General features: G+C 35.0%; 1 protein-coding gene across 2 annotated transcripts; it reads right to left on the reverse strand.

Annotated features, from left to right (window-relative positions):
• Positions 1–429: 429 nt before the first annotated feature.
• Positions 430–19,853, reverse strand: GMNC (geminin coiled-coil domain containing). 2 transcript variants are annotated; one of them, XR_924161.3, is made up of 6 exons: positions 19,772–19,853; positions 17,843–18,017; positions 16,087–16,175; positions 14,942–15,058; positions 2,058–2,152; positions 430–583 (listed from the first exon to the last, which is right to left on the reverse strand). XR_924161.3 is itself a non-coding variant. In NM_001146686.3 (5 exons), exons 1-5 carry the CDS (start codon positions 19,772–19,774, stop codon positions 12,454–12,456), a joined length of 1,005 nt encoding a protein of 334 aa, NP_001140158.1. In that variant the 5' UTR covers positions 19,775–19,853; the 3' UTR covers positions 9,896–12,453. The 2 variants fall into 2 exon arrangements, 1 of the variants encoding a protein (NP_001140158.1); NM_001146686.3 differs by lacking the exons at positions 430–583; positions 2,058–2,152 and adding an exon at positions 9,896–13,074.

The following is a 19,853-nucleotide window of genomic DNA, read 5'->3' on the forward strand; positions in this document are numbered from 1 at the left end:
TCTAAAGAGGTTAAATAATCTGCATAAAGCCATGTAACTGTTAAGTAGAAAATTAGCATCTATTCTAATGAGTGTAGATATGAGCCTTTTGGGGGAACTTAACAACTGATTATCTTACATTTGGGTTGAGTCTAGGCATAATAGGAAGTCTGCTTTAACCAGCCTTTGTAAAGTTGAGGACTAAATGCTTCTAAAATCATTCAATATGTCAGCATTCCTCACAATGTTGGTTAAAACAGACTCCAAAGCCTATTGATTAAATTTAAAATCCATGGATAAAAAGATTGGAATAAATATTTTCTTAGTTCTCTCATATTTAATAAGATTAATATTATTTATATGGTAGAAATGCTTTTTTCTTTCATCTTTTATGTATATGCCTTTGTACCTAGACAAGCTGAGCCATCCATCTCTCATGTGGTAGTGGGGTTGAACGTGTTACAGTAGTCATACAATGGAAAAAAATGTTAAAAAAATTCAGCTGTGATGTTGAACACAGTATTACAGATATATAATAATAGTCACATTTCATAGAGATAAAATTATTTCCTAGATGGGGTTGTAGAACTCGACCATAAACAAGCTAGAAGAGAAAAGAGAAAGCAGGTTGTCATATATTTGCTATATTCTCCTCTCTATTTTAGTTAAAGCCTTGGACAGCAGGGGCACCTTAAAAAGAGTAAGATGAGTGGCAATGACATAATGGCACAAAGGTTTCTGCCCTGCTTTCCCTTTATAATTCTGGAAGGAAATTGTGTCCCAGGCTCCCTCCCACACAGCAAACTCCACTCCTTCTCCCTTCACAAAGTTGTATCCTACATTTTTTTATCCACACAAAATTCTTCTCATACGTACACACATAGGTATTCAACCATTGTGTATTATAGACACTGACTGCTTTTTTGCTTCAATCAATTAAGTGTACTTTATTGCATTTCCTACAGCAATGTATAAAAGGACATCTTTCTCCACATTTCTTGATAATGTTTCTCCACATTCCTGTACATTATCATCCTTAATTTTTGCCAATTTGAAAAGTAAGATTTAAAACTTAATAAATAAAAGTCTCAGAATTAATTTAAGTAGTGTATTGTTTTATTCAAAAATAATGAAGAATTAGTACTACATAACTAGGCAATTAATAGAAGGATTTGAATAAATAAGAATCCAGAATGGTTACTTCTTATAGTTTAAATATCATCATTCCATTTAGAAATAAAACGTCTTGAGTATTTGTTGCTTAAAAATGTCTAACACAGTCATATAACGTTTTTTCTCTTTCCACTGCACGTATTTGACAATTCTTTGCTTTAGGAGGATAGAAATTCATCACAGATTCACCACCATGACTTCTGGTAATTACCTTTGCTTATTATGTCTCTTTAGCTTTTCTCCAAATTGTTTTGATTTTGATATTAGCAAAAATATAAATGACAGGGAAAAAATGTCATCCCAAATTCTCTTTTTTTCTATTGCTCCCCACCCCAAACGCTTTTTGTTGTTTATCTAGTTTCTGTTTTTAGCTTTGTCTATATATACACATTTTAAAATTAAATCATTTTATACAATGAAGTTGCAATTGTGTTTTTAAATAATTTAATACATATTTAATAATTGATTCCTTATATATAAGAATATATAAAATTCCTAAATTTATATGCATATTTCAGAATACAATGTTATCAAGGAAAAATATGTTATTAGGGAATCCTTTATAAAACCATAATTTAAGAACGATTGATAGTATCAGAAAAAAGTATTTATCAATATTTTGCATAAAAGTAATTTTTTGACAGTCTCTATTTTGCCAAAATTATATAAAAAAATCTGCCCATGATGATGGAGTGAGCATCAGGAAAAATAGACATTGCATCAGATTTCTAGATGAGCAATAACTTTGTGATCTTATAAGCAAATAGAGAAAGCACAAAGAAATATTAAAGTATTCAAATATATAAAATAAATTTGAATACACTTAACAGAAATCACTGCTGTTTGGGTTTTTCAATTATTTGGAGGAATACAGAAGAAAAGGAGGGATTGATAAATTAGCTTACTTTGTTATCTGCAATATGTAGGAGATTCTCTTTTCCTTTGATAATAAATTACCCTATAAAATATGATCCGTGGATAAAATGAGTATAGATTATATCTGTAATGAGAAAATAATGTACATTATTTACAAAGTAAACCACTCAACTCAAAATTCAACACTCTCATCAATTCACAGAATTGACCAGAGAGCTTAGAAAAAATTAGGTGTTAGTCCTATTGATTGCAGTAATTTTATTAACTTAAACTTCCAAATCAACCCTGAAAATTCATATGTCCACCAGAATTTTCTTGAGTTTTATTTTCAGAATTTTCTTGGGTTTTATTTCAATACATGAGAGCTATACCAAATTTAGGTTGGCAGATGCGTTAATATCAATGTAAGATTTTGCAACATGAGGCAACAAATGATTTAAAAGCAGTGCATTAGTCCGTTCCCACACTGGTATAAAGAACTACCTGATACTAGGTAACTGCAGAACTGTGAGTCAATCAAACCTCTTCTGTTCATAAATTAGAAGTCTCAGGTAGTTCTTTATAGCAGTGTGGAAACAAATTCAGAAAGGAATGATAAGGTCTAGGGCTTTTTTTCCTTTTGCTATTTATTTTGAAACCTTTTTTTTTTTTTTTTTTTGAGACTGAGTCTCGCTCTATCCCCCAGACTGGAGTGCAGTGGTATGCTCCCTGCTCACTGCAACCTCCGCTTCCCGGGTTCAAGCGATTCTCATGCCTCAGCCTCCCGAGTAGCTGGGATTACAGACATATGCCACCACGCCTGGCTAATTTTTGTATTTTTAGTAAGGACATGGTTTCACCAGGTTGACCAGGCTGGTCTGGAACTCCTGACAAGTGATCCGCCTGCCTTAGCCTCCCAAAGTGGTGGGATTACAGACGTGAGCCACCGCGCCGGGCCTCAAAACTCTTAAAAGTGTAAATACTTTTTTACAAAACAACTACAGTTTCAGGAAATAAGCAGTGAAAACGTGTAGCCACAAGAAGTTCCCACATTATACATATATATATAGTTACATTACATATAATAAAGAATGTTGGGGTGGGCACTGTGGCTCATGCCTGTAATCCCAGCACTTTGGGAGGTGAAGGCGGGTGAATTGCCTGAGCTCAGGAGAATGAGACAAGCCTGGGCAACACGGAGAAAACCAGCCCTTACCAAAAATACACAAATTTAGCCAGGTGTGATGGCATGCACGTGTGATCCCAGCTACTTGGGAGGCTGAGGTGGGAGGATTTCTTGAACCCAGGAGGTGGAAGTTGCAGTAGCCAAGATTGCATCACTGCACTCCAACCTGGGTGACAGAGTGAGACCACATCTCAACAAAAAAAGAGAAAGAAAGAAAAGAAAAAAGAAAATTGGAAGTAACCTTCATATGAAGAGGTAATTAGTTAAATATGTTATAGTACATTCACAAATAGCCATACCATGCATTAATTGAAAATCATATTGCAGAAAAATTTTAATAACCTGAAAATATGATAGTTTCTTTATGAAAAAGTAATTATAAACTTACTGTTTGATATTACATATATACAGATTCACATATACATATGTGTGTATATAAAATTTATTACACATTTTAACACTTTTACTAAAAATATATAAATTCATATGCAAATAACTGAAGTAATTTGTGGAAATTTAAAGTTGTAGGCTTTGACATATTTATTTGGTAATTTATGACTTGCTGATAAGCGCCTAATGATTGCTGAAGAGAAGTTCATGGAAACTCAAATTTGTTTTACTGTACATTTGCACTCCAGTTCATCTCAAAAAGCCTACTCTATTTATTTGTCCAACTAATATTTCACTCTCAACAGCCACTTGTGAGTCTGTTTATTGGGAGACCTCTATTCACTGGAATACTAAGGAAAATTATCTTTATTTTTCACTTTGGCTGATTTTAGCTTTGCTATATTGAATTACACTTTCTATTTTGAGGTAAACATCATAAATATTAGGTCGCTTTCGTCCATGAAACTGAGTCCATGTGTTTTAAACTTTAATCTTATAACTGGTGGACTGATAATATTATAACTGATCTCCCTCTTCCAATGTGGGTTAAACGTGTGGTCCAAGGCACTTAAGAATGGAGGAGATGGTCTTTTCTTGACATACTTTATTTTTGTCTCTTATAATTTGGATTCATATCTAGCAAATAAAATGAAGTTTAGTCTATTCTTACTCAAAGTTGCTGCTTCCCTGGATAACATGACTAGCTATTGGTGTCCTTTATCTGGCAGAAATAGAAGTGCTGTTTTTTCCTACATATTGTGGACCTATGTCTTGGTTTGGTGACAATAACCTAGGGTTGTATCTATTGCCCCAACATAGCTTCCAGTTCAGTATTTGTCACTCCAGAAACGTCATAGTTTGTACAATAAATTATATAGTTATGCTCCTGGTGTGATATATTCGTGGGGTCCTTCTAGGGACCTGAAAAACTTCTACATAGCTTTGCCTTGACCATTTCTCACAGCTCCTTCTCCTAACTTCAGCTCACACTATCAGTTGTCTAATCTACAGCCTCTTGCAGCTCAGATCATTGCCTGGGAGATGGGTGGGGAACATAAAGTTAAGATGTCTCAAGTTTATTGAACAGAAGCTTCTGCTGAACTTCTGCAGTGTTTCATCAACCACAGTAATTATTTTGTCTTGAAAAATGTTGGGAATCCAGGTTACTCTGCTGTCTCCTCTTTCATTGCCCTGGATCCAGGTCATGTTGCTGCAGCCAGTGACTATATAAGGAAAAAAGATTACATTCCCTTTCTTGCCATCATTCCTCATCTTCACATGACTCTCTTGCATACCTCCATTTGCCTGCAAAGGGGAAGTTTCCTCCCCCTCTTCCTCTAATGGGGGGAAGGGTTAGGAGGGTTAGGATAGGCTCTTTTCTCATTGTATGTTCCAGAAAGATGATGCCCACTACCATATACTCTCCCTAGTCCTCATGTTGTATGTGCAGTACATTTAAGATCTTTACAGAAATATAGGAATATCATGTTTAAAAAATGACCTATAATTTTGAAACAAAACTGGTGGATATGCATCAAGAACAGCTGGTAATTTTCACTACGTACATTCCCATAATTTTGTCTATAAAGGGTAGGCCTGCCTCAGTCTTGAAAAATTGAAAAGCTTTAAAAAGGACATCTACGAAAGTTGGATACCTTTAATAGTTACCATACTGATACCAATGTCAATCAACATGAAAAGTGATGCTTTGAGGTTACAAATAACATATCTAAGCAATTGTCTTGACTCTTTTGGATTTGATATACACTACTTCCCTTTTATTATTGATAAAACATTCATAGAAGCTGTGTGTTTCATTGTACAGAAGCGTCTGCTGCATTTCAAGAATATATACACCATTTTATAAAAACCTACCCTGCAGTCAACTGGAAAAGTTACCATTCTCTACATAGGCCCCACACTTGGTGCTGTTGAGCTTTTTGTTCTACCTCTATGTCTACTTGTTGTGATTCTAACTTTATATCCAAAGCATTTTTCTGATATCATGCCTTCAATGAATCCTTTCCTAGTTTCCCTCCACTTACTAACTGGTAAACTCTTTTAAGACATGAGCTATAGTGCCTAAAACATAAAATTTCACTTTGAAGACAATAGGAAAACAGTGGGCATTTGTTGAATTTCATCAGTAAAAATATCTCTAACTGATTTAATAGTGTTGCATTCTATCAAGTGTGAAGCTTTACATTTGCGAATTAAATTGAAATGGATTTTTACTCTATGTGAAGGTGAAGATCGAGGATGTATGATAGAAATTTAACATATACACGGTCCTTAAAAGTTATAAGATTATCTCACAAAACTGGTAAACATATAGGACAAACACTATTACCTCCATTTTAGATGTGGATACACTGAGACTGAGAAAAGTTAAATTAATTTCCAAGCTTGACAGTTATGAGTGGAGGAACTTACTTTTTATACTGCAGTCTTTCTTTGTTCATAATATCACTGCACTGTAGGAAAGGGAGTGGGAATCTCTGTATTCGGATCAACTGACATAAATAAATTCTAATAATTACTATACATATTAAATGGTCTTCCAGAAGCCCATTTCCAGGTCATTGAAAGGATATTTCCATTCATCATCTAGGGCTATGCTGAGTCACCAGCCATTTTTACTCTCGTCGTTAACAGGATGGCTCCCAAGAAACCTGATTCATCCCTTATCATTTCAAAAGGAAGCAGCCTGCTAATTACAACTATTGTGGAAATTTGGAGGGAGGACAACAGGATTGGCTAGGTGGGACTAGTCATGGTTCTGAAAAACAGTGGAAGAAAAGGCTAAGGTTCTGGCAATATGGTGCTCTAATTCCCCAAGGAGGCTGAGATTCCTGGGGTGCACACACGGCTCTATTCATGGGTGGGCCACCTGGCACTGTGCAGATGCCACTTCCAGGTTCCACCCAAGACTCCCTGTGGGCCAGGGGTGGAAGAAGAATAACTCTGTGGCTTCTGGAAGATGGCAAATCCTAGGAGAGCAAAATGAAAGGAAGGTGTGTTTTGCCTTTTGCCTGATTATAACAAGGGATTCTGAATTCTCAGCGCATACTCATTGCAGAGATTTCTTGCTGTCAACTTCACAGCAACTGGAGGACCCTGAGGGAATCTTTATAAAGCTCCTGAGATAGTTGGGCCTTATCCCTGAGGGGCTAGTCATTTGGTATTAAGGACTCTCTTGAAATGAGAAATTACCTAGAAATACCCTTTCTATGCCTTATTATTTCAGATTATAAACTTGGTGTAGAAATAAGAAGCAACAACAAAAACAGCAGTCATGTTCCTGAAAAGGTATCAATTAACCACTGATTTCCAAAGTGTGAGGATAGACTGACTCCAGTGTGTTAGAATGAGTCAGTTTATAAATATGACTATTCACTGTTTTACTTTCCCTTTGAGTTATACTGAAAAGGAATGACAGTAAAGGGAGTAATGCTATTACTTAAACAGGTATAAAATTTATTTTCCGTATTAAAGGAAGAAGAGGAAGACTTTCATAAGGATCATTTATACACTGCTACTTTAGGCTTTAATATTAGTAACAGTAATTGAGAAACAGATTTATTTCCCTTTATTTGAATTTTTTTGTTTAAGAAGCATATCAATACTTTGGACCATGATAGCCCGCTTTTCCATCCTACTCTACTCATCCGAATTTCTCTCTTTTGAAATGATAGAGGATGAATTAGGTCCCTTGTGAACAAGCCCTGTTAGCAATAATGAAATTCTTCAGCACCAGAATATCCTTCTGTTGAAAGTAAGGAAAGGTTTAAGAGTTCCTCCATACTTTACACTTCTATCTCTGAGATTTGTAATAGTCTCTGACAGCCTGTTGACTGTAAGCATATTTGCTAGTGCCAAATATTATCATTATGTGTGATAGTGATAGAGACAGGAGACAGCCAAGTGTCCCCAGTGAAACCCTGCCTTCAAGCCTAAAACAGCCCGGAGGCTGAAAAACCGGACTGCTGGTTCCGGATGAAGCCTGCCGTTTCCCGACTGAGTCTGTCCAAATAATGCCCACCTGTGCACTGGGAAGATGGGGAAGAGCCTGAAGAAATTCGTGTCCGTTTGCAGGAGTGAGGAGCCTGGCCTCTCCTGTTCCTATGGGGTGACCTGGGATTTCAATATGTAAGGCAGGAAACCTGCCTGCAGGACTCTTTGCTGAAAGTTATTTTTCCTTTTTCCTTTTTGCCTAATAAATTCCACTCCTCACCCTTCTGTGTGTCCGCGAGCCTAATCTTTCCTATTCGTGTGACAAAAAGCTGGTTTTAGCTGAACAAAGGAGAAAATTCCGCAACAATAGTAGAAAAGGTATTAGACCCAACATTAGCACCAGGGTTTATCTTGGGCCTCAACTATTGTAATGTGGCCCATATAACACTTAGAACCAGTTTTCTTATCTTTAAAATAGAAATAAAGACATGAAACACATTGTGATAATATGTTTGAAATAACTTACATCAATTACATTCCTATTCAAGGATTATTTAAAGTGAGTGAAGTTTATTCATAGTTTTCTCCAAGGAAAAAAAAATACCACTGTAAGAAAACTAAATAAAATCCAGGTTATCCATGACTGATAACAAGATAATCTCCATGTAGTGACAGGTTACTGCCCTGAGATGCAAGTCTCAAATCACTGTCTCTTGATATTAATCCTTCCCTGAGGAAAATATGGCTATATACCTATATAGTGGCCTCAAGATAATCCTGCTCAAAATTTTCATATGTGGATACCCTAGTCTTTTCATAATTCCTCATGGTATAACTAAAATCAATCTGGAACATTTAACTGAGGCTTTATTCATTTGAGGTGGAATGTCACAAAACTAGAGAATATTTTGTGAGATGTCAATTGCTCTTTAAGCTCACAGACCTTATCCCATGTTGGTTTCTGTCATGCTTTTGTAAGGTGAGTGTTATCTTAACAACATTCAATAATCTATTCCTAATCATAGCCTTCCTTGAAATCCCAAACCAGATTGCTGACATTTTTTGAGCACATAGATCCAACTATACTGGAAATATAAACATCAATGATGAGAGCCAATTATTCCCTTGCTTTGATTAAGCATATTTAAATTATGTTTCTCTCATTTATAGCCAAGTTAGTTTTAACACATATTTCATCCTTATATCCTCAGCTGAGCCTGAAACGGAGGCTATATCTCAGCTGAGGCTATAGCTGTTGAATAAATACCTCCATTATTAATCATACTACTATTTCATACATTTGAAAATTGACATGCTTTTTTTTCTGTGACAAAATTTACAGAATAAATGGGTACAGAAAACTTTTTCTTGGTTCGTTGCTCCATTCGCTAAAAAATGTTTCCAAAATAAGGGCCAAAAGTAGGATTAAGTTTTTGTGATTATTTATTAGCTATAAATTCATTACAAAATTGACTCTTACATATAATTAGAAATATTTCAAATTATATAGAAATCATATTATTTAAAATATTAAGTGTTAAATTATATTTAACAATTGCAGGATATTTGATACAAGAATTAAAACTGGATGTCTGGTTATGTTTATAGAACAAAAAACAGATAAAATATGAAAAATAAGTTGAAAAACATTATATATTTGTAGCTTGAAAACAAATTCTATTTGATTTAGTGAAATATAAAGAAAAATATCAGAATTTAATATTTAATCTTATGTGAATCTTTTGGTAAACTGAAACACAGGTAAAATTATATACCCTGACCTTACAAGCAAGATGTAATATTTATCAAAAACTTATCACTGGATATATTAACGCTATACTTTTCTCCACATCTATGCTACAGGTGGGTTGTTAAATCCATTTGTCATTCTTCCTTTAAAAAAGTCGTTTTCTTGAATTAAATCAAATAGATAATTTTTTCCATTAATTCATATTGCTCCTTTTCCTCAAATTTTTCAAACTTATAGTTTAGCATCACTGAAGTCTTAAATAATCTCATTTATTTAACATCACCTTCATAGCTGAAGCTTAGCAACAACCTTTTTTTCCAGATACGAGTGAGATACAAGTATGATTTATTTTTCAGATGATCAGAGGACATTGGAAAATTTAACAAATTGATACTGGATTCTAATTTTTATGTGTGGCTAGTTAAGAGAGTAGTGTACCCAGAAGGCACTGGACTCTAAGCCACTTAACATTCGAAAGCCTCATTAATATGCCCTAGAGAAGGGAAAGAACCATCAAGCCCTAAATGCTGAAGTCATTAGTCTGGCCATAGACATCATACAAAGAAGAGCAAATACACAGGATTATGGTTACAAACCAGGAGAAGAAAATCTGCTATTAGGGAATGTTAAGCATGGTATAAAAATAGTTACCGCAATCACAAAAGAGTTTTTATTTCCCACTATAGCTTAAAATATTAACTGTGGTTTACCAGAGAGACATGGTGAAGCCATACAAGTAAAACATATACTCAGGTGAAAGAAATGTTTAATTTCTAAAACATGAACAAAATAATTTTCTATACATAATTTAAATGGATATTAAATATTTATAGACATGATTTCAAAAACGTGGTAATTGTCTTCCATAACATCGTCCATGATAGAAGCCAGGAAACCATCACATTTTATCCCAAATGTTCGGTAATATCTTTAAACTGGGCCAAAATTAAGTTTCATTTAAAAGCTATCAAAAGCTATGACATTTTACATGGTTTTGTATACCAAATGCATTGTGCTAAGCCTGGGTGTACCCTCATGGTACTTAACACATGATAAGGCACACAAAGAATGCAAAATAAATATTTGTTAACTCATACATTTCCTTTTACAGCTTGATTATTAGACTTTCAAAATTAGTTATATTACTTTCTCAATTCCTAGTGTCATAAAGTACAATAATTCGAATCCTTAAATCTCTTATTCTAAAAAGCGACAAATTTCACCGACCAGGGGCCCAGATACCAGAATGTAAAAGGCACAGTTATTTATTTTATTTTATTTTTTAGAAAATGGAATGTGTTCTACTTCTTAAAGTACTCCAGAGAGTAATATTAATTACTATATTGGATTTTCTTCATAAATTATTTTTAAAAGTGGGTGGCAACAAAACTTTATAAAACAGACCCTTTGCTTACATCACCAAAATAAAGCAACAACCAAACAGAAACAACAATGAAAGGCATGTCTCTGTTACAAAGAATCCTAACCAACACAGTTGACCTACGAGATATTGATTGTGCAAGATGACTTATTGAGATGTGGAAAAGAGAAAAATGAGAACAGGTTTCAACATGAAAGATTTCATCATTAATTGAAGTTTGTCCAAAAAACATAGGTGCACATGCAGGATGTGCAAATTATTCTGGGAATGATAGGGGTCTTGAGAGATGGGAAAGAAGAAAACTAGCACAAGCACTGAAAATATATTGTTTCAAATTTAGAAATATGAAGTCCTTGATAGCAATATTTATATGCAATCTATCCGCACTTATTTAAAAATTAATATGTATCTATTTTTAGAGGCAAATTATTCTTACACAGTTACGCCGAGTTAACTGCAAAATGGGCTCTAGAAAAAGAGTACTGTGATCAGAGCAATGATTTCTAATGTTAACTTCAAATGACTTATGTTTTTGAATTTTATTAATTGTACATAAAGTTTACCCTACCTAATACTTGCAGTGCCTATCTAAAGACTTCTCTTTAGTTTCTTCAGTGACCTGAAACTGCCATGTTGGAGTAAATCTGATAGGACCCAGCCTCAATTCATAGAATATTAGTAATTATCTAGTCCAACTTCTGTATTCTACAGTTGGGAAACTGAACCTTCACAAAAGGGAAGTCGTTTTCGCAAAGTCATAGCAGATGAGTAGGTCTAAGTCTCATGATGGTGGCCACAGTGTCTAAATTGCTTGTATTTTATCACCATCACATAGCATAGTGCCTGGTACAAAGTAGGCATTAGGTATTCTACAGATTTCTTGGGTGGACTGATCAATGAAAAAATGAATACGCGAATGAATGAATGAATGAGACAATGGCTGAGCTAGGTTAGTCTATTTTCAGCAATAGGAGTTTGTCAGCATCTGGGTAGTTGCAGATGATGACTAGTTTTGTTACCACAGTCCCTCAAAATGTTCTTCTTGGAGTCATGTTGGTTAAAGAAATGATGCTGGGTACATATAGAAGCTGATACATCATGAGGCATTTAAAAATAATTTAAATTCTTTGTAATTTTAAAGTTTATCTGTGATATTGATTATTAGTGGAGTTACAGTTGTTTTAAGAGGCTTTGTCAATGCCACTATGGGGCACTGAACTTTTTGAACTGCCATGAACATAATGCTACACACATCCACATTATGTCTTCAGGAGTAGTGGTGATGGGCAAAGACACTTGTTTCAACCCCACCCTCAGCTATTTGAACATGCAGTAGCAAGTACTTGAAGCAAAAATAGGGCTCATTCTAAAGACAGTTTTCAGAAATGACAAAGGGAGAAAAGTAAAAGGGCTGTGAATATTTCAACTACTTAAAAGAGGAAAATCTGTTAAACTGGTTAAAATTGGAAAAATGTATCTAGGTCTTAAAGGAATATAGAAGTGAGTGGAAAATACCTTATCAAGTATAGGGCAAAGAGAGGATGTCAATAGCAGGTATTGGTGTGTAAACAAGTCAAATTTAGGTAAAAGAAGCGCGGACACGTTTCATTATGGATTCTTGGAAGCCATTCCCTGCAGATTTAAGTGGGTAATTGAGAGTGACATTTAAAGTGGCAGGAGACAGTCTAAGCAACAGCTTCTGTGTTCCACATAGTCAAATTCAAGTGCAAGAGAGGTCTTTGTAAACAGAGTTCGTGGCAGTGCTTTGTGATAAAAGAGGGGTCACTAAGACTGCTTAGGGACCCAGGTAAACTTCCAGCCTCCCTCCTCATCTCGACGCACAAAGGCTTGTCCCTGGTGGAAGGAATGAGTTTTCACATTACAATGAGGGCTCAGGGATGTGGAAAATGCCATCTCTGTCTTGTTGGGTGACACATGAGCAGTATAGTAAGGAAGAGTTTTCAGCCCCACTGGGGGATTTGAAAGTTGAGAAAGGATGTGGAAATCTTCTCCATGAGTGGCAGTGCTGTGCAAGGGGGTTGTTCTGTCACCTCTATAGTCAATTGGCATATCCTCTCTGGGGATATTTTTATAATCAACTGCATCATCCGGAAACTGGGAAAATGTGCTGGCGACTCTTCTGGGATGAGATGCGAGGGCACTGTAGTTAGCTGATGAGGTGTCATCGATAGTGTCAAGGTCTTTTAACCCAAGTGTTTGAAGGACCCAGGGATCCACAGGGGGCCCAGCTTGTTCTTCACAGTTAGCAAATTCACTAGAGAGGTTTCTTTTGGCATTTTTGGGATGGGGAATCTCAGCAGGAGAGTATCTTTGCTCTTTGGATTTTCTCTTCCCCTTCCTGAATTTTCCATATGCTTTGGAGAACTCATCAGATGAGAGCAATTTCTAGGGAAGTGATATTTGAAAGTTATACTTTTTTCATATATTTACTAGTTAACTAAATTATTTCGGAAAAAATGCTTAAATTTCTCTTCACACAAGTAAGATGGATTGGATTAGCTTGTTTGTAAAGTAAAATCTGTGATGACAAGTTACTGCCTAAAAACTCTAAATCACATTTTTTACTCAATTGTTTTAAATGTTGAAAGGACCAGATGATATTTTTAAGATTTCAGCACCGGCAAGTTATTATTATTATAACAATAATAGCACTATCATTTATTAAGTTACCATTTGTAAATAAACTATCATTTATTTATAAATAATACTTATATTTATTTATAAATATTTATAAATAATACTTATATTTATTTATAAATATTTATAAATAATACTTATATTTATTTATAAATATTTATAAATAAATAAAAATATTTATTAATATATATTTATAAATATTTAGAAATAGATATATTTATAAATATTTATATATTTATAAATATATTAATAAATATTAATTTATATAAGTAAATATTCATAAATTTATATGAATAAATATTTATAAATAAATATAAATATATTTATAAACAATATTATTTATACATAATATCTTTATCATTTATAAATGAACTATCATTTACTACAATTTATAAAGCACTGATTACATGTATTATCTCATTGGATATAGATGTTATTAAAATCTTCATTAATGAGGAAACTAAAGCACAGATATATTAATGACTTGCTGAGAATGATGTAGCTTGCACATAAACCTAAGCCACCCAAATCTACACAGATCCTCTGATTAAACACTATACAACACTGCTTCTTCTTATTTCATTAACTTTCAAAGCACTTCTGAGATATATTATTATATTATTCTAAATATTGGAAAATTATTAAGACTGACAGATAAAACTGCCTAGTTATTATCACTTAGTAATATAATAAGTGTCCTTTTATGGAATGGTGGCTGGAGTTAGGAGCCCAGGAAAATAGCCTGGCCTATTCTCTTAAAATATTCTCTTTTTAACAAAGGCAACTGAATTGTAAAGAAATCAAATCTAGTGTCTTCTATTCTCTGAACTGCTCTATTTAGTAAGAGTAGCAAGAAGCATCATCAATTTAGATCAAATAATTTCAAATAATGCAGCTTGTCTAGAAGTATGGAAAAGATTGATGATGAAAGCATTAATGATAACATAATGGCAACTAGATAATAAAAAATTGAAAGGCAAAGAATTGAGCATGAACAAAAGAAGACTACTGGCAAGTTATTTATCCTTGAGTTAGAAATAGCTCATTTTAAAAGTGGAGAAAAAATGTGAATTAAATGATAATGTAATTGTGTATGCCTAATTGCCTAATATAATTTGTAAATGCCAAATCAAGAGATTTGGGCTCAGGCAATATTCACAGCATTTTAGATCTAGCAGAATTTTTAAAAGATATTTTAGACCATCCATTACAGATGAAGTTAAGTGAGGATCTAAGTAAGAATGATTTGCCTAAAGTCAAACAGATCATTAAAAGAACTGAGTGTCTTTTAGATCTGCTTCCCGTACCAGCATTCCATCCATCTAATTCTGCCTTTTGATTAACACTGATTGTCTCAGCAACCCCCACCCTCGACTAGCATTTGATTTTTAAGCAACTTCTTTTGTAACATAAGACTGACATCTGCAATCTAGGTACTTCAGAGAAATGATAGATAAAAATTCTTGTGAAAGAGCCGTTATTTCCTTAAGAAAAACCATCCATCTTATAAATGCATATCAAGATACACTGTTTAATCAAGGAGTTTTACATAAATCATTTCCTTTCTCAAATCACTGCTTTGTTCTTATAAAGTAGATACATACATCATACATACCTTGGCCTTTTCTTCAAGACATTTAACCAAAGCAGAATTCAGGTATTGTCTGAGGTGATTATTCTCTTCGTGTAACCTGGCGAGTTCTTCTTCCTTCTGCACCAGGGTATCTTGCAGCTACAAAAAGCAGACAGTGGTGAAGGCTGCTCCACTATATTGACTTTGTAACCTTATAATAATGCCACTGCTCCTTAACTGCCTTAAACTTGATGATTGTTTGTTGTATGAACACAAGCACAGGGAGCCCTCATCCTGAGAGGCCTAAATTAAATCTACATCCCCCTAATGCCTAGTTGTTCAGCTTTGTGCTCTGAATGTTCATTCATTGCAAAGCATTTGGAGAGATTATAATAGACTTTTAAAATTGTAACCACAAGCGAATCAGGTAGATATGAAGGAAAATGAGCTGCATGCAACTGTTTAAATATAGAAAATGATGTTTAGGAAGATGTTGCTGGACTCCTTCCTTGCACTTCTAAATAAATAAATAAAAAATAGAGGTGGGTCGCCTTTTTTCAGCCTCAAATGGACCTGTCTGTATGTCCACTAGGTTAAATTAAATATAGAAAATGATGTTTAGGAAGATTTTGCTGGACTCCTCCCTTGCATGTTTAAATAAATAAATAAATAAAAATAGAGGTGGGTTGGCTTCTTTCAGCCTCAGATTGATCTGTCTGTATGTCCACTAGATTAAATTATCCTTCAGGGGCAAAACTGACACAACATGTAAAAAGCAATCTTAGGAAAATATTTTATAATCATTATGTCTTCTCCAAGTATTAGCTATGCTTATGGTTTAAAAATACTGTCACACTCATTATATCATTCGATCTTTTCAAACGCTCTCTGAGATAGGCAGTACAAGGTTTACAATTCCATAAATGAGGACAAGGAAAAGGATTCAAGGTCATACGGCTAAAATGTGTAAAGTGAGAGCTTGACTGCAGGCCTTTCTAGAGTGTCTTGCTTGTTTTTCTTTTCTCTGACATTGATCATCTAACTTTGATCTCTCTTTGGACACACCAGTCACTTTGGTTCTAAACTGAGTCAGCATGAATTTCAAAAGGGAAAAGAAGCAAGATATTAGCAGTGGGGAATGGACCACATAGAACATGACCAGTCTCAATGTTCTGACTTACACATACCTGCTTATTTCTGTAGAGCTGAGAGGAAAGCTGAGCCTCTTCCCATGAGCACAAGTCCGGAAGAGGAAAATTTGAGTCACTGAATGATTCTGTGAAAATACAAATAGATAACTGAGAAAATAATCTTGTAGTTTCTGTGTAATAAAGAAACTTATCAAATCAAATCAGAAAGTTTAATAGGTTCAATTATTTTTCTTAAACAGCTATTGCTGCCATACAGGAAAACAAGACATTTAAAGTTTTTTAGAAAAGGCAAGCAAGCTGTGAGAGACAAATATTTATATGCTGTATGACATAGCAGTTAAAAAGGTAAATTTTTTTAAGCAGTAAGGGGTCACATTCTTGCCTAATATATGTATTCCTGCTGGATAAATTAAAGACTGTCCAGTCTTTGTCATTAATTTATGCAAATACTTATTGATCTCCCCCAAACTCGGCATAACATTGTAATTCCATTATGTTTTTCTAGTTTTTATCTTATTTTCTAAGTTTTAGCACTTGATAATGTACTGTTTGGCTCTATAATTAAATTCTAGTCTGTAATGCTACTAGTTTCTCTGCCTGTCTGCCTGCCTGTTTTAATCTAACGGACTGTATTTATTTGGAATTTTATGTGGTAGCACTTTCTACTTTAAAACAATTTGGACCTTGCTTCTTTGAAGATCTTAATGAAAATCTCAAAACTGTGCCCAGACCTTATCTGTTTCAACTGTCCTAATCTGTATATTTTATAAATGTTTTTTCAAAGTGCCTTTTCCCCCCATATTTGACAGTCAGCTCTATCTATCAATAAAAAACTATGGTTGGGCATACTAACCAGGTCTACTTTTACTTTCTTTTCTTCATCTAGTACAGTTTAGACTCTTGTCCTTCTCTGGTTATATTGTTGATACTGAAATATTTTTGATTAAAGTGAAATGATGAGTAAGGAGATAGGAATAAAATGGCATAAGTAGTTTGGGTTCACATTCTTGGGCATTTTGTTTTTACTGTTGCTTGTAGTGGAAAGCTAATATTCAACAATGTCCTCCCTGACATTTAAGTGTGCTTTTAATATTTGGGGTTCCTTTGTTTGTGTCTTTTTAAAAAATAAAACAAATCATGTAGCAGAACCAACAGTATGGATATTTAATTCTGGGGTGTCTGAGAATTCTTTAAGAAACTTGAGTGTTTAACACAGACATTTCTTTAATATTTATAAATACTGCTGGTATGCCACAGATCAAGATTAATATGTCATTTTACATCAATGCTATAGTTCTCTCCAAAGTTGAAGCTTTTTGTGTGTGTAAAAGGGAATCCTTTTTCAACTTCTAACACACTATCCATGGAACTTCCTCTATGAAATAAAAATTAAGTTAGTATTTCTTGCTTTTCTCTCAAACTCAGGGAAACTTTCCTGAATTCCAAAAGAAGTGTTCCAACTGGTATCCTCATTCCAAAGACATTCTGCTGGTGTGTTGTTTATAAAACTTTGATCCAGACTCACACTCCCTCAGTGAGATAGGACTCTCCAAGAACTGTAAATTGTAGGGAGAAATACATGCTATCCAGTGGGCAAGGTAAAGAATCCCATTTTCACTATTTGGCAAGTGTAAAGCAGCAGGCTTTATGACTGTAAAAATCAGGAGTCCTTGGGTTTACTTAAATTTTCCATATCGTCCCTTATTCTAGAGTCCCAGCCCATGATGCTCCGCAGCCACGGGTATGGAAAAGAGCTCCAGATCTATCAGGGAAGCAGAAGAGCAGAACTTACCCTGTGCCTGTGGTGCTTGTTGGAGCTCTCTGTTGTCCAGGAGACCAGCAGCCCAGAAAGAGACCCAAGTCTCCGTGGAAACGTCAACACTAGATTCTGACGTTGTAGTGGAATACGGGCAATTATAGCTCTGGCCTCCTACAAAGTACTGGTCTTGGCAAGGCAGAATGGTGTTCTGTGAAATTCAGTATGGGGGGAGTGAGGGGTCCCAAAAGATGGGGTGATGGAGATTTAGAAGGGGGAAAGGGTGGGAGAAATACCGAAATTACATGCAGTGAAATATAAAGAAAAAAAATCAGAAAAGGTGTTAAGTATAGATCCATATTAATTTTGGGGTGGTCAAATTATAATTACTAAAAGGGAATGAGTTTCTTGGTTTACCCAGAATTTCCCTTAGGCCCTCTGAGCAAAAGAGCAGACTAGCATTGAATGGGTGAAATTTGTACATATCCAGGAGGATTGTCTGTTGCAACGACCAGCCCATCTAATAGTCTACCCAGATCTAAATAAAGGGAATTCTACTTAATGATTCAAAACCATAAGAACTATTTGGTTCTTTCTGCAAATACCTTAATTATATTTCTAAAACTCCTGAAGGACAAAGAACGCAGAATGCTAAAGCTGAAATGGATGTGACATAATATAGACTAACGTCTTCATTTTTGTTTCTGAATCATACTTGCCTTATTCCTTCCTTTTTCCTCCGTCTGACCTAACATACTGCTGGCTCATAGTCCATCAATCTATCTGTCTGTCTGTCTGTCTGCCTATCATCTATCTATCTATCTATCTATCTATCTATCTATCTATCTATCTATCTATCTATCTCTGTCCCAGAGATAATTAAAACATTTTGCTCCCAACACTAAGCACAGGACCACAAAGCTGCTCCAAGTAAACGTATAATCAAAGCTGAAAGAAGTTCGTTAGCAAAGACAGCAAGCTCTAGTTCTGTCCATCACTAGGGCTCAGTGCCCCTCCAAAGTTATCTTGCCATTAACTGGCATGTATTCTCCACTGTGTTCTGATCCAGTGAACACTCTCCTGCCTTCCACTTCTTGAACCTCAAACACACAGTCTTTCCATACGTCCAGGCAGGGGCAGGTATGCAGCCTTCCTGGGTTAATTTGTACAACACCAAATTTAAATTATTTGTCAATGTTTAATCAGGTAAAAGCCATTCATTTTAGCAGAGCCCAGCTTTGGAAAAACTCTTTTTGACTACTACAGGGCTTCTTTGGACATTAACATAAACAGAGAGAAAACAAATAAGAAGAAAAAAGAGAAAAAAAAGTTAAGTCAATTCAATCGCACTTTGTTAATGTTCTCGGTAAATTAAGTTTTGAAAAATTCCAGTTCTGAAGCAAGTCCAGCTTGGGCAGTGCAGACCAAAGAAATTCAGCCAAAAGTTTATCAAGTGCAATTTTCTTTTATTTTAAAAGCATGTTTGCAGACTCTTTCCCTGAGGTTTTTTATTTTTTATTTTATTTTTTGGAATCAGAGCTAAGCTATTATGCAATTGATACCTGAGAAGAAAACAAACTTCAAATATCCCTAGACAAGTTCATGTCCAAGTGTTTGCAAATATATGCATAATCTAGAGGAAGAGGTAGAATGAAAAGTGAGTGCAGGTGGAGGGGGAAGTTGGGGAGAAAGTAAGGAAAGTAGTAATAACAGAAAGAGAGAGAGAGGGCGAGAGAGAGAAAGGAGAGAAAGAAGAGGGAGAGAGGGAGAGAAAGAGAGAGAGAGAGAGAGAAAGCAGATAGAGGATACTAAAAGAGACACAGGGCAGCAGAGAGGATCTGTTTTAACTGGCGGGTAGCGGAGAAATCTTGCTCCGAAGGTGGAATAAATTCTAAATGCAAAGCTTATTAACTTTCAGAGACCCAAGTTTGCCAGCGGACTAGCTAACGCCAGTTCCTCACTTACCATCTTGCAGTGGAAGAAAGCGCTGCAGAAACTGAGCCCACTCAATTTTTCAGTAAAACCAGTGGGAGCTTTAAATGAGACT

Source organism: Homo sapiens, chromosome 3 (assembly GCF_000001405.40).
Source record: "Homo sapiens chromosome 3, GRCh38.p14 Primary Assembly".
Lineage (NCBI taxonomy): Eukaryota > Metazoa > Chordata > Mammalia > Primates > Hominidae > Homo > Homo sapiens.

Coding starts and splice junctions, on each gene's coding strand:
- GMNC (NM_001146686.3), bottom strand. Junction 16,176..17,842: donor ACAAGCACCACAGGCACAGG/GTAAGTTCTGCT, acceptor GTATTTTCACAG/AATCATTCAGTGACTCAAAT. Junction 15,059..16,086: donor AGCTCTACAGAAATAAGCAG/GTATGTGTAAGT, acceptor TGCTTTTTGTAG/CTGCAAGATACCCTGGTGCA.